The sequence below is a fragment of the Homo sapiens genome, chromosome 7, assembly GCF_000001405.40.
Source record: "Homo sapiens chromosome 7, GRCh38.p14 Primary Assembly".
In the NCBI taxonomy this organism is placed as follows: Eukaryota; Metazoa; Chordata; class Mammalia; order Primates; family Hominidae; genus Homo; species Homo sapiens.
Genome location: NC_000007.14, coordinates 130,870,534 through 130,885,598, shown reverse-complemented (window position 1 = coordinate 130,885,598; position 15,065 = coordinate 130,870,534). Strand labels below are relative to the sequence as shown.

At 43.2% G+C, this 15,065-nt stretch overlaps 1 long non-coding RNA gene and 2 other non-coding genes across 7 annotated transcripts in view, besides 2 other annotated features; all 3 read left to right on the top strand.

Moving 5' to 3' along the window:
- LINC-PINT (long intergenic non-protein coding RNA, p53 induced transcript) overlaps positions 1 to 8,037 on the top strand; it is a 232,364-nt gene extending 224,327 nt beyond the window's left edge. For 3 of the 5 annotated variants that reach the window (NR_170176.1, NR_170175.1, NR_034120.1), the window contains 2 exons: positions 1,203 to 1,282; positions 2,863 to 4,607. This is a non-coding gene — a long non-coding RNA (long intergenic non-protein coding RNA, p53 induced transcript). Of the gene's footprint in view, positions 1 to 1,202; positions 1,283 to 2,862; positions 4,608 to 8,001 lie in introns of those variants that run through there. The other 2 variants (NR_110473.1, NR_110472.1) reach the window with 2 other exon arrangements.
- Positions 8,038 to 8,059: 22 nt separating this feature from the next.
- Positions 8,060 to 8,140, top strand: MIR29B1 (microRNA 29b-1). Its single transcript, NR_029517.1, has one exon. It is a non-coding gene; the product is annotated as a microRNA 29b-1 (primary transcript).
- Positions 8,141 to 8,788: 648 nt separating this feature from the next.
- Positions 8,789 to 8,852, top strand: MIR29A (microRNA 29a). Its single transcript, NR_029503.1, has one exon. It is a non-coding gene; the product is annotated as a microRNA 29a (primary transcript).
- Positions 10,035 to 10,329: an enhancer, noted in NCBI's record as "tiled region #3918; K562 Activating DNase unmatched - State 12:CtcfO". NCBI's record gives its function as "activates a minimal TATA promoter and a strong SV40 promoter by Sharpr-MPRA in K562 cells {active_cell/tissue: K562}" and the evidence as "EXISTENCE:reporter gene assay evidence [ECO:0000049][PMID:27701403]".
- Positions 10,040 to 10,239: a silencer, noted in NCBI's record as "fragment chr7:130560119-130560318 (GRCh37/hg19 assembly coordinates)". NCBI's record gives its function as "represses an EF-1alpha promoter that drives an FKBP-Casp9 reporter gene in an ReSE screen in K562 erythroleukemia cells {active_cell/tissue: K562}" and the evidence as "EXISTENCE:reporter gene assay evidence [ECO:0000049][PMID:32094911]".

The window sequence follows — 15,065 nt, the reverse complement described above, 5'->3', positions numbered from 1 at the left end:
TACTTCTCAGCTTGATTTTTTAGATGTATTTTCTGTTGTAGGACAGTATCAAATGGCTTTTTCTGACCATTTATTTTACTGGCCGAGCTCCTCTTGGATTTTAATCTCAACTCTCAAGAATCTTCCCAACATAATCTGTTCCTGTTGTGATATCATCTTTCTTGAGAGCTTCCCAGTCACTGAAGAGCATGTTCAGTAGCACCTGGCTTAAAGAGTCCACCTGCGAATCACAAATCATTGTCTTCACCATTCAGCTCCGACCCACACATCTGGGCAACATCATCCCCACTGGCCAGTAAGCACGGGGAATGCTCTGTGGCCTCAGCTGTGTTCTGGTTCCTCGGTGGAGCTGTAATCATTAACTTAGAAATTGCAATTGGTGGTAACTTAACAGAGCTTTCTTCATCAGACTGCTGAGTCATGCAGCCTCTTGCTGGGTAAAATGTGTCTTGAGATGTAATCCCCTATAAGGACACCCCCTTGGAGCCACTGTGAAGGCACTCCCAGCTTCCCTAGCAGGTCGCATCAGGGGGACGACTGAAGGATTTACTTGAACAATCAGTTTTCAGAAATGAAGACCCTACGACCTTGGCTTCCTCTCTTGTGATGCAGCTGAAAGATGCATTTCGTCTGTAAAGTTAGACCAGGTAGGAGAGAATGTGAGGTGGTTTCCATTCTTCTCAGTTGCCCTCCACCTGATTCTGAAGCCGTCACAGACCGTCCTTGCAGACCGGCGCTCCCCTCCACAAACCTTCTGCAGCCTGTACTGCTACAGCACGAGGCTGCAGAATCAGTTGTGAAAATAGAAGCCTTCTACCGTCTCCTGTGCGGGATCCTTGCCTGCCTTTCTTCTGTGATGGGATCTATAGGCTTAGACTGTGTTTTATTTCCTAAGACACCTTGCTGAGCAAACCTTGCTGCTCTGCCTCGTGTCAGCGGTTTCCTTAGCAACGGCCACACCTCACGTTTTCTCCCGCACAGAGCACCAGCATGAGGGGGCATGTGTTGCTCACTGTACAGGAACTTTCCCAACCTGTGTGTCTTAAGCAGGAAAGAGAAGGTGCTTTCTATTTCTTGTTTTTAAAAATGCATCTGTTGGTGACACTGGTGGAGAAACATGTTTACGAGAAAACAACTGACTTTTTCTTCTGCTGTTACTCCAGGAGATTTCCTAGGAGCTCATACTGTCATTTAAATTCCAGGTGCAGGTCTTCTGAACAAATGCCTCCTGAGGATTTCTGTGCCTGGAAAATATCTGTTAACAGACTGCTTTTACACCTACGTAAGTAGAGGCTTCTGCTTATAAGTCAACCTCAAGGGAGTTTTATTTTGTCCCTGGATGATTCCTCAGTACATTTTTCTTTTTCTTTTTTGAGGTAGGGTTTTGCTCTGTTGCCCAGGCTGGAGTACAGTGGTGTGATCACAACTCACTGCGGCCTCAACCTCCCAGGCTCAAGCGATCCTCCCACCTCAGCCTCCCAAGTAGCTGGGACCACAGGCGTGTACCACCCACGCCTGGCTAGTTTTTTAAAATTTCTTTTGTAGAGGCAGAGTCTCCCTGTGTTGCCCTGGTTTCAAACTTGGGCCAAGTGATTCTCTGCCCCAGCCTCTCAAAGTGCTGGGATTACAGGTGTGAGCCACCGTGCCTGACAAGCCTGATATGTTTTTTTAAATGATCATTAGTATTTGATCTCTACTCTTTTTCTCTCAACCACCCAACTCCCGGTTTACGGTCAGGAAGAATCTATAACATGAACTCCTGCTTAAAAACAAGGGTATAGATCCCATATTCAGGTCTTAGACTGGGAAGAAGAGAAGGCAGTCAAAAATATTAAATATATGAATTTCAGTAAATTCAGTTGGGGATGCCATTTCAGCTTTGCAGTCAGTTACTCCAGAATATGTCAATGTATGGCAAAGCATGTGACAGCAGGATCTCTGCACCCTCTCCATTTACCAGCTGTGGTGGATCTCTTAGCCACATCTCTGTTTATAATGTGCTTATTGAAAACTAATGTATTACTTTTATTATCATAGCTACCATTTACTGAATATTTACATTGTGCTAACACTGGTTCAGATGGCTTCATCATATTTACCTGATTTAATCCTCACAACAACCTTATGTGCTAGGTCCAGTTATTACCATCTTTTTTTTTTTTTGAGACGGAGTCTCACTCTGTCGCCAGGCTGGAGTGCAGTGGCGCGATTTCGTCTCACTGCTGCAACCTCCGCCTCCCAGGTTCAAGTGATTCTCCTGCCTCAGCCTCCCAGGTAGCTGGGACTACAGGCACATGCCACCACGCCCAGCTAATTTTTGTATTTTTATAGAGACGAGACTTCACCATGTTGGCCAGGATGATCTCAATCTCTTGACCTCGTGATCCGCCCATCACAGCCTCCAAAAGTGCTGGGATTACAGGCGTGAGCCACCGCACCCGGCCTATTACCCTCATTTTACAGATGAGGAGACTGAGGCACAGAGAGTTAAAGTGATTTGTGCAGGGTTGTGTGAGGAGCTGGTGGCAGAGCTTGGCATTCTGGCTCTGGAGTCTGCATTTGGCCATCTCACCGTACAGTGTCATAGAAACAGGAAACTCGAGAAGATAAACTGCCAGGCTGTATTTTGGAGTCAGTATTTTAACACTGTCACCATCTCAAGCATGATCTGTGGGACTCATCACTGTGCTCTTTGACTTGAACTTCTTTAAGGTTAGTGGGAAAATGAAGCTTTAGAGAAGATGGGACTGGCCTAAGGTCACACTGCATGTCAGAAGTGTGGTGGAGGGTCCAGGTCTTCTGACCATTCAGTGCAAGCCAAATTGTGCTAATTTCCAATTTTTCTCCCTTTCTCTTGGTGAGCTATTTGGTGCTACTTCTACTCCTCATGACCAAAGCTGGCTTTCATGGTTTACTCATGTACTTACTGATGAAACCCTGAGACTTGGGGCCAGTGACTGTTCAGAGGTCCATGTGAAGATGCGCTGAATGGTATAAAGGACAGAGCAGTAAAGAGTGCTGGCTGAATGCCTGGGCTGGCAATCAGGCATGTTGGAGTTTGAGTCCCAGTCTGCCACTCCAGCTCTGTGACCAAGAGGAAGTGAAGTCATGTACCCTTTCTAAGTCTCTAGCCCCTCTTCTGAAAGACGAAGATGCCACCACCAACCATGTTAGTGGTTGTGAATGCCAAGAAAGTCCATGTGAAGCACATAGCATAGTGTCTGCCATGCGTTAAGTGTTCCAAAAATGGAAGCTATGACTATTTCACAGAGTACACTTCCCATCACTTTTCAGTTCATTTTGGCCTTCTCCCTCAAAAGCACTCCAGTGTTCTGATCCAGCTGATAAAACACCAAACATTCACATAGTGCTTTAAAAGTGACCCACTGTTTTTACAGACTGCATTACATATGACCCTAACAACCACTGCAATATAGAAATTCGCATCTCCATTCTCCAGATCAGGATACCGAAGCTCAGAAAAATTAAATGATTTGCCCAGGATCACATAGTTAGTAAGCAGCCCAGCCAGATCCTGTGTTAACTTGTTCATCCGCTTCCTATAAGAAAACATCCATTCAAGGCACATGGGGCAACAAAGAAGGACTTAGAGCTGTGTGGCCCCTCGTCAGGGCAGTACCAGTTGCACCCATAGTCCGGCCTGAATACTCAGCTTAGGACTATTGTGTCCAATGTCCCAAACATTTTGAAGCTACATCTTAAAGAAGTGTCCTGCTCAGATGCAGTTCTCCTTGTGAAATCCGCAGGCCCCAAGGAAAGTGACTTTAATCCAGTTTGCTCATGCAAGAACAGACTGGCATTTCACATCCAGGAAAACAATGGATTTGTACTGTTCAGCTTTTGCCATGCAAGGAGTTCCTGGTGTGGTTTATTAATTTACATCTCAGGCTCCAGCTTCACTATCAATCAGATTTGGAAGAAAAAAGTTACAAAGAAAGGCAGCTTGCTGAGAAACAGCGGAAGCATGACGGTACAGACTGGGTTTTGAAATGGAGACACATTCTCATGGCTTGTGGGCTGAGAGACACTGAGAAAGGATTTTGTTCTTGAAAGATGATTGTTTTAATGCTGGAGATGGAGAGTTTTGACAATTTTAAGTGCATGTTCTGTGTGTAAGAAAGAGTCATTACGTTTTTTTTTTCTTTCAGATGTTGCCATGCCTTAAAATTGCTGATGATTAAAATAGAACATCCTGAGTTACAGAAATTCAGCCCTAGTGTATCCTGGCCTAAAAATACAGAACAATCAAGTTGATTGTTGGAAATGAGAGGCTAGGCAGGGTTGGAAACATGCTAATGTTTACTGAGTGAAATCTTTCCTTCTCAGTAGAGTTGCCCTTGCAGCTGAAAGTCACTGAAAGACTCAACAAAATAAGCAGATCCCACTTGTCTCACTCTGTTCTCCTATGCATGCCCTGGAAAGAGAATGAATGAGCCCTTTTTAATTTATCAACTGGTTTTCTTCCATCTCTTTACTAGTGAGCCATGGGGGTTTTTTGCCGTTAACTGGGTAGCCAGTCTCTTCATGGAGACTTATTTTCAGGAAACTAGCCTCTTGCTTTATGTGAAAACAAGGACCCAACTCAAGATGTCTTATCACAGTGTGTTCTGTTGCGTAACAGTTGCATCTGTAGTCCAGCCTCAATACTCAGGTTGGGACTGTTTTGTCCTGATGTCTCGAACATTTCAAAGCTACGTTCTTAAAGAAATGTCCTGCTCAGATAGAGCTCTCCTTGTGAAATCCTCAAACCCCAGGGGAAGTGACCTTAAGCCAGTTTGCTGGCTTTTCATGTCACAGAAAACAATCGACTGCCACTACTCAGCTGTTGCCACACAGGAGTACCTGGCGTGGTCACTACTTGCCAACTCAGTACCCCACTTTCTCCCCAAGGACATAAAAGCAATGTGGGAAGATATACCAAATGACCTTGTCACACTGGGCTAATATGAAGAGCCCACAGATGCAAAATAATGTATCATACCTTTATTCTTCTGATTTTTTTTTTTTTTTTTTTTTTCGGAGACAGTCTCACTCTTTTGCCCAGGCTGGAATCCAGTGGCGCGATCTTGGCTCACTGCAACCTCTGCCACCCGGGTTCAGGCAATTCTCCTGCCTCAGCCTCCCGCCCAGCTAATTTTTGTATTATTAATTAGTAGAGAGAGGGTTTCACCTTCTTGGCCAGGCTAGTCTTGAACTCCTGACCTCGTGATACACCTGCCTTGGCCTCCCAAAGTGCTGGGATTACAGGCGTGAGCCACCGTGCCTGGCCTTTTTTTTTTTTTTTTTTTTTTTTTTTTGAGATGGAGTCTGGCTGTATTGCCCAGGCTGGAGTGCAGTGGCATGATCTTGGCTCACTGCAACCTCTGCCTCCCAGGTTCAAGTGATTCTCCTGCCTCAGCCTCCTGAGTAGCTGGGATTGCAGGCATCCCATACCCGGCTAATTTTTTTGAAACAGAGGCTTGCTCTGTCACCCAGGCTGGAGTGCAATGGCACGATCTCAGCTCAGTGCAACCTCCGCCTACTGGGCTCAAGCAACTCTCCTGCCTCGGCCTCAGCCTCACTACAGGCATGTGCCACCACGCCTGGCTAGTTTGGTTTTTTTTTTTTGTATTTTTTTAGTAGATATGGGGTTTCACCATGTTGGCCAGGTTGGTCTCAAACTTCTGACCTCAAGTGATCTGCCTGCCTCAGCCTCCCAAAATGCTGGGATTACAGGTATGAGCCACCACGCTTAGCCTTCTGCTGAATTTTTGAGAAGCATACATAAAGACAATGTAAAAAACTTAGCATATTTGTTTGGCCCTGCTAAGGGCATGGTTGAATATATAGTGTGTGTGATGTATTTGGTGTATGAGATATATATGATCTTATCAGACATAAGTAAAAGAAATTCATTCTTCAGGAAAAATTTTCCCCATAACTGAAGTGTCAATCATTTGAAAAAACTTCTAGGCAGTAGGCAAACACTGTGACTAGTTATTTATCAAAAATAAGCAGACTTTAGAGTTTTGTAACTGATGAGAATAATCTGGCTGCTTCTTTTGTACTTCAGTCACTGATACTGCGAATTAGAGTAGCATATACAGAAGGATGCAGGGGGTCCCTAAAGGAATCACAGAATTAGTGAAACCATTATTTGAGAGTTGCAGTGATTCTTCTGTCCTGGCACTTTTCCCAGTTTTGGTGCTTAAATTTACTATCCACTTGAAATGTGTCACTGCCTGTCACTTCACAAAGTATGTGCCTTTCACTGCAGTCAACAAGCTGTTTACATCTTTGATGAAATGATTGCCACGCATCTCCATAGCCCTGGTGTTCTATTCCCTTATTCACAGAGATTTTTTTTAAAAACCAGCCTAGCAGCAATAGGTATGTGCTGTGGATGCTTCTCCATGATGATAAAGGATGAGTTTGTGCTGGGATCTCCTTATGAAAAGATAACTGGCCAAGCCCATGAGGAACAAGAATGTTATGCTAATCAGACCCAAGGTAAACAGCCTGCAGTGCACCTCCTGACTGATTAGCACTGAACCCACTTGGAATCATCAACCACAGGCACGTGGTAATTGGATGTTCTTCTAATACACATAGTGAGATTGTAAAATGAGGATGATATATGAGGAAAGTCAGACGGAGAAACTAAAGTTCAGTTCTTAAATACAAGCCAAGGGAACAGACTAAGTGAATGGTACAGCCAGGATTGGAGCCTGGTTTTCACAAGGTGGTATGTCATGATAAAACAAGCCAAAGAAAAGGTTGGGTAGTGTTTTGAGGCTAAAAGAGACCAAAGAGTCTTAGTGAATCAACCTTGATGCGATCTGGGTTTGAAAAACCTATAAAAAACCTTTTGTTTGGAGAAAGTGGGAGAAGTTGGATGTAGGCTGGATATTTGTGGGTACCAAGGAATTGTTTGTTTTCTTAGGTATGGTAAGATTTTGTGGTTATGTAGAAGAGTGTCTTCATTTTATAGAACGACCTCAAAGTAGTTAGGAGCAGTGTATGTATGGGTGGTTATCAATTTACTTTCAAACAATGCAGCAAAAAATATGTATCTATATTACATATAATTAAAGCAAAACATGATAAAAAGGAATAGTTATTGAATTTAGATAGTATGGATTTAGGAATTCATTGTATTGTCATTCCAATTTAATGTATAAAATTTTTTATAACAGTTTATAAAAACAGTGCACACCCCTTTAATTAGGTGGCCTGGGTACATGAAGTATCTTTTTGGATGCCTAGAACACAAAAAGGGACGACAACAGGCCACCTAATAAGATGATACCAAGAACTATACCATGACGGCGAAAAAGAACTGCTGCAAAAAATAATTTGCCAAGGAGAACTCAGAGTACAAAGCCTTACCTTTGGAGTAGAGGGAAGGAGAGTCTTAAGTAAAGCTCACAAAAACCCCTAACTCATAGATGCAGTCTAAGGAATTCATTCCGGAAGCGACATTAGCATCTCATTAGTGCCATTATGTGACTTACTTGGCCTCTGAGCTAGTCTATTTTCTTCCCTAGACCCCAAAATCTCAGTAATCCTTTGGATCCAAGTTATCTCCAAGTGAAAATAATAGGTTTAGGAAAGCGTTTTTCTTCAACTTCTATGGAGCACTTGCTTGCTTTGTCCTATTTGCATGTCCGACGGACGGTTCTCCAGCACCACTGCTAGTCGTCCTCCGCCTGCCTGGGTACTTGATCACAGGATGCCTCTGACTTCTCCTGCCTTTACCCAAGCAAAGGATTTTCCTTGTCTTCCCACCCAAGAGTGACGGGGCTGACATGTGCCCTTGCCTCTAAATGATGAAGCTGAACCTTTGTCTGGGCAACTTAACTTAAGAATAAGGGAGTCCCAGGCATGCTCTCCCATCAATAACAAATTCAGTGACATCAGTTTATGAATATATGAAATTTGCCAAAGCTCTGTTTAGACCACTGAGTAACTCACAGCTAGGTTTCAACTTTTCCTTTCTAGGTTGTCTTGGGTTTATTGTAAGAGAGCATTATGAAGAAAAAAATAGATCATAAAGCTTCTTCAGGAAGCTGGTTTCATATGGTGGTTTAGATTTAAATAGTGATTGTCTAGCACCATTTGAAATCAGTGTTCTTGGGGGAGACCAGCTGCGCTGCACTACCAACAGCAAAAGAAGTGAATGGGACAGCTCTGAAGTATTTGAAAGCAACAGCAGGATGGCTGTGAGAACCTGCCTCACATGTAGCTGACCCCTTCCTCACCCCTGCCAACAGTGGTGGCATATATCACAAATGGCAGTCAGGTCTCTGCACTGGCGGATCCAACTGTGATCGAAAGTTTTCCAAAAATAAGTTGTGTCTGTATTGAACATGAACAGACTTTCTTCTTGTCATTATTCTCTAACAATACTGCATAACAATTATTTGCATACATTTGCATTGCATTAAGTATTCTAAGTAATCTAGAGACGATTTAAAGTATACGGGAGGATGTGTGTAGGTTGTATGCAAATACTACACCATTTTCTATCAGAGACTTGAGCATCTGTGGATTTTGGTATCCAAGGGGCTTTCTGGAACCAATCCCTCAAGGATACCAAGGGATGAATGTAATTGTACAGGATATCGCATTGTTGGAATTTTATACTTCTTTGTGGAATAAACCTATAGCACTTAATAGATAGTACAGACTCATTCCATTGTGCCTGGGTTAAAGAGCCCAATGTATGCTGGATTTAGTAAGATTTGGGCCCTCCCAACCCTCACGACCTTCTGTGACCCCTTAGAGGATGACTGATTTCTTTTGGTGTTCAGAGTCAATATAATTTTCTAGCACCATCTGAAATCGGTTATAATGATTGGGGAAGAGCACCATGATGCTGACTGCTGAGAGGAAATGTATTGGTGACCGTTGGGGCCATGGACAAGAACTAAGAAAACAAATGCAAAGCAATAATGCAAAGGTGATTTTTCTTCTTCCAGTTTCTAAGTTGAATTTCACTGACCTGAATTGCATGTGGTATAATACTAACAAATGGTTCACTATTAGCATATCATGAATGGTTATACTTTATAGAAATTCCATAGACTTGGTGGGGGTTTTGTTTTGGTGACGGATACCTAGAAACACTCCTGGGGAAAATCGATGACTGGCTTAGATGATGGGAAAGGAGCAGCGAGGGAGTCAATTCTGTTGTTGATGAGAAGCTGCACCAGCTATCTCTGAACTCTCCTCTCTTAGCTGGCTGAGGAGTTCCCTCCATGGTTAAACAGGTCATTTTCTTACATAAGGAAAAATGGTCCAGAGAAACTGGGTTTCTATGGCTGAGACAGAACTGTGCTAATATGTGTCAGTTCAGTTTAGAAGGCAAAGCAACAAAAGCAGGTGCTACTTGAACTAGGATCCTAGAGTATACCTTTGATATGGTTTGGATGTTTGTCCCCTCCAATCTCATGTTGAAGTGTGATCCCCAGTATTGGGGGTGGGGCCTGGTGGGGGTGGTTGAGTGATGGGGCGGATCCCTTGTGAATGGCTTGGTGATGTCCTCACTTAACGAGTTCCTGCTCAGTTAGAGGGAGCCGGTTGTTTAAAAAAGCTGGCACCTCCTTCCTCTCTCTTGCTCTTTCTTTCTTGCTCCCTCTCTCGCCATGTGACATGTCTGCTCCCTCTCCGCCTTCCACCATGTATAAAACATCCTGAGGCCTCATCAGGAGCCGAGCAGGTACCAGTGCCATGCTTGTACGGCTGCAAAACTGTAAGCCAAATAAACCTCTTTACTATATAAATTACCCAGTCTCGGGTATGTCTTTATAGCAGCGCAAAACGGACTAACACAACCTCACTAGAAGTGAAGTCATTAGACCAAAAACAATACTGAGTTTTTAGGTCCACTAAGAGGCAAAAATAAAAGGCTCTTTATAGCAGCATGATTTATAATCCTTTGGGTATAAGCACATGTATGCTAGAACTTAAAGTATAATAATAAAATATAAAAATAATAAAATAAAATAAAAGGCTCAAGAATGAGCCATCTCGGCCGCTCCTCCTCCAGGGGCCCCTGTGTGCAGCTCCCAACACAGGTACTGCACAGACCGGCCACCTGCTGTCCCCATGTGGCGTCCTGGAGAACTGCAGGGGCACCTGGTGGAATTTGGGCCTTGTCCTTCTGTTTTCTTTCTGGCCTGGAAAAGCCACTGGCCTCACAATCAAGAGTTAATATTCTATCTACCCTGCTTAAGCTTTCCCGCCCTCTCACACTGCCTCCCTCCTTTTCCCTCCTGCCTGTCACTTGTCTGGAAAAGGCCTTTTCTCCTCGGGGCTAACACATGCAATTTGTAGCCAAAACATTCTGTCTACCACACAAATCCAACGAGAATCAGGATCATTCCACCACATCTTTTTCTATCCCATGGTTATTATTTTCCCAAAACTCTTGTCTTTTGCTTTCTTACCTATTCGCTGTTTTCCCTAAGTAATCTTATTTACTCCCCTGGTTCCAAATACATCCCTATGTGTTGATTTCCCTCAAACCAGAGGTCTGGCCTGGGATATTTTTTGAGACATCTTGCTTTTTATATTTTTAGTAGCTCCTAAGTATAATAGTTCAGCCTGCTCTTCTAAACTTGTCTCAATTTAATCCATTTATGCTTGAGGTTGCAATTTTTTGAATTTTTGCCATCAGACCTTGGCAATGACCTTGAGCAGTAGGAGACAACTCCCACATGCTTAGCATTCCAATAATGGAACACTAGGCATATACCAAAGCCATCCACATTGCCTTCTCCCCAAAGCCAGCTCTCCCTGCTCTGCCCCATGGTGAAAGCTGCGAACACCAGAGGTCTGTGACCTCTTCCCTCTCCCTTACCCACATCCATACTCAGCACAACTTGTTGCTGTTCTCTCTCAATTCTCTCTTTAGGATCCATCCCTTTCTCTGCTCTTCCTAGACAGCTTTCTGGGCCCACCCCTCGCCATTAGTCTAGCTTTGTTATAGCCACCAGTTAATCTTTGTAAAATACATACGTGAGCTGGGCACGGTGGCTGGTGCCTGTAATCCCAGCTACTCAGGAGGCTGGGGCAGGAGGTTGCTTGAGCCCAAGAGGTTGAGGCTGCAATGAGCCATGATTGCATCACTGCACTCCAGCCTGGACGACAGACCAAGATCCCATCTCTTTAAAAAATAAAAATAAAAATTGTTTAACCACATGACCTTGCTCCTTGTCCCTCACTTTTAGCTGAACTCTTATAAGTGTGTCAACCAGGTACCAGACCCTTCATGACCCCATGCCTACCTGTGTCACCATCTTCTGGCTGTGCTTCCTGGGGCCTGTGTTCTGTGCTCACCCAGCTGCTTGCTGCTGAGAACACTCAGGTATCTTGGCATTTCTTAGCCTGTGTCTGTGCTATTTCCTCTGCCCACATCTCCCCTCTCCTCCTCCTCGTCAGCTAGGGACCTCCAGCCCCTAGGGACTGTAAGCTAGGGACCTCCAACCTGCAGCCCCTGGCTCAGGTGTAAACTTGTCTAGGAAGCCTTCCTCTGCCTTCTGCATCAAGGCTTAGATCCCTGGGCAAAGGCTTTCTTCTCTGTACCCCTTCAGAGCCTGATGGCACTTCGCATGTTATATTCTCATGATTGATTACCTACTAGGCTTCTCTGCAAGGCTGGAAAATCCTTGCTCCTAGGAGGGACGGTAGACAAGAACAAGACATACTGTGTACACTCCATTCTTACATTCCACGTGAGCTATCCTTTGTGTAGGTGTCTGTGGCAAATCTTCCTTCTAGGCTGCAGCCTCTACTTTTCATAGTTTCTCTCCATTTTCATCTGCCATGTGCATGAGGAATAAAAACTACTTCCAATGATGACCAAAATAAGATGGAAGAAAATAACCCTGCTTCAAAGAACATTTCTGAGACCATAAATATGATTTTGATGTATCTTCCATTATGGATTACCCATGTGGTTTTTTTTTTCCTTCTAAATGCATAAACAGGAATTGTTTAATAGGCTAGAGAGCCATGAAAAGCAAAATAATTAAGGATTGTTGTCCTCATTTCATAGAAGAGCAAACAAAGACAGAAAAACAGATGTGCCTTAACCAAAAAGGGCAGTAAATTTATGCAAAGCAGACTGAACCCCCATTAAAAGTAATCATTTACAGCGACCAAGGGCCAAGCACGTGATCACCACCCTCCTCTCCCAATAGCTCTGAAGGGTGGGTAGTATTTCCCCAGCTTATGCACGAGGAAACAGATGCACAGGAAAGTCAAGTAACTTGCCTGCAATGCCACGGCTAGTCAACATGAGAGTTTGAATTACAAATCAGGTGGCGGTGGCGGTGGTGATGATGATGATAATAGCAGCTTATCATCATCATTGAGCTCTTATTTTGTGTTAGATACTTGGTAAGTATTTTGCATGAATTAGCTCATTTAGTCTGACTTTCAAAACAGCCCTTTGAGGTCAGTGTTATTATCATCATTCCCATTTTGCCATGAAGAAACAAAAGAATTAAATAATCCAAGATCGTCTAACTGACATTTCCAAGCAGGAGCACAAACCCAGATCTCTGTGATTCCAGAGCCTGTGCTCTTAAATCAGCACTGCTCATTTCAGTGTGGGAGATGGCGTAAATGGGTGTGTTCACTTGCTGGGCAGCCTCATCTGTGGTCCCCTTGATCCCCACCTACTGGCATTCATGCCCTGTGCTATTCCCTCCCCTGGAGTGTGGACTGGACCTAGTAATTTGCTTCTAATGGATGGAATATGTCAAAAGTGATAGATGTCACTTCTGAGACTAGGTTACAAATAGACTGTGATTCTGTTGTCTTCTTCCTCAGGCTTGCACCCTCACGACATGCTCTCTCTCTCTCCCTCTCCTCTTTTCTCTCTTCTCTCCCTTCTCTCCTCTCTCTTATCTCTCTCTTCTCTCTCTCGTACACATACTCTGGAAAGCCAGCTACCATACTGGGAACTGCCCAATGGAGAGGCCCACATTCCACAAGGAACTGATGTCTTCAGCCAATACCTCGCCAGGACCTGAGGCCTGCTGAGAGTCACGAGTGGCCTTCGTGGGTCCTCTCTCAACGAGCTTGCAGGTGACCACTGCGCCAGCCAAAACCTTGATGGCAGCCTATGAGTGAGTGACCCTGAGCCAGAAGACCCAGTTAAGCCATGCCCAGGATCCTGACCTGCAGAAACTATGACATAATAAATTTATTGTTTTATGCCACTAACTTTTGGGGTTACTTATGCAGCAATAGATAGCTAATACAGCTCATAGTATCCTTATCTAGCCTCAAACATTCTGCCTTTAGTATCTAACTTTCCTAACTTTTTAGATAAACTTTTTTGGGGGGGATAATTTTAGATTTACAGAAAAAAGGCAAAGATAGTATAGAGAGTTCCTTTATATTTCTCTCCTAGTTTCCTCTATTGTTCATATCTCATAAAACGATGGTTTTGGGTTTTTTGAGACGGCGTCTCACTCTGTCACCCAGGCTAGAGTGCAGTGGTGATCATAGCTCACTGCAGCCTTGAACTCCTGGCTCAAGGGATCTTACTACCTCAGCTTCCCAAGTAGCTGGGTTCACAGCATGTACCACCACACATGGCTAATTAAAACATATATATATTATATAATATATATATTTTAAGTTATTAGTAAGTATATCAAATACTGCTCCAGATTTACAAATGGTTATTTTCCACTATGATGTCAATACACATTAATTTGTAAAATATGCAAATAATTTTCCTGTAACTATTCAAATGGAAAATATTCAACAAAGAATACTAATTTCCTTCTTAATTCCTGTGTTGTGTGATCCAAGTCACTTGATCTTTCTGGGTTTGTTTTCTTTAGTATCAATTTATCTTACTAGAATTTAACAACAGTTGTGTAATACAATCTTTTAATACTTGTAAACACTCTGCAGTGCAAAATTCTGTATTTAAAAATTCCTATTTCCTAATTGCTTAAACATTTAGCTGCATTATTTGTAGCGTTTCCAAGTGATGCTTAAAGACAATCCATATAAAACCAACATCCTCAGGAAAAGAATAAGTGGTACTGCCTAGAGAAAAAGTCCCTCCTACTTATTACATCTACCCTCCTGGTTGAATCTTTTTTTTTTTTCTTTTTCTGAGACAGAGTCTCGCTCTGTCGCCCAGGCTGGAGTGCAGTGGCGCAATCTCAGCTCACTGCAACCTCCGCCTCCCAGGTTCAAGCAATTCTCCTGCCTCACCCTCCCAAGTAGCTGGGACTACAGGCACACACCACCACGCCCAGCTAATTTTTGTATTTTTAGTAGAGATGGGGTTTCACCACGTTGGCCAGGATGGTCTCAATCTCTTCACCTCATGATCTGCCCGCCTCAGCCTCCCAAAGTGCTGGGATTACAGGCGTGAGCCATTGCGCCCGGCCTGAATTTTTTTAATATGATATAGAAATGAGAAAAATCATTATGAGAAACTAACACATACTTATGAGAAAAAATTAGCTTTGTATAGATCTTAAAAAGCCCTTTAGTGAGACAGGGTTTTAAAACTCTTCTTGGTGACCTAACAAAAAAACCCAAACAAATATTTAAACAACAACAACAACAACAACAAGAACAAATCTGAAGCTGATTCACAAGAGTCCAAGTCTTGGTGGCCAGTGTTTGCTGCTTAGTTGACTCTGAGTGACTAAGCTCTTCTTTGTAGCCAATTCACCTGTTTCAATAGTTGACTAATAAAAAAAATAGGCAATAAAATATGTTGCAGAATGAGGGGGTGCCAAAGGAGAGAGAACTGAAATCTAATTGGAAAAAAGTGAAGCGAAACATAGTGTAAGCTCATTCACAAGACATTACTACCCAGAACTCTGAATTCAAGTTTTCTCTTCTTCTCCATTTTTGAAAGTGTCAGACGACAAGAAAGCAAGCTGTTTACTAAAGAACTGCAGCATGAATAATTTCTGTATTATAAATGATAAGATATTCTATTTTGAGGTTAGTTTATAATTCATTTCTGTCTGTTGTGCCTAAAATCTTGGCTATTCAGAATGATGACGGCTCCTCAG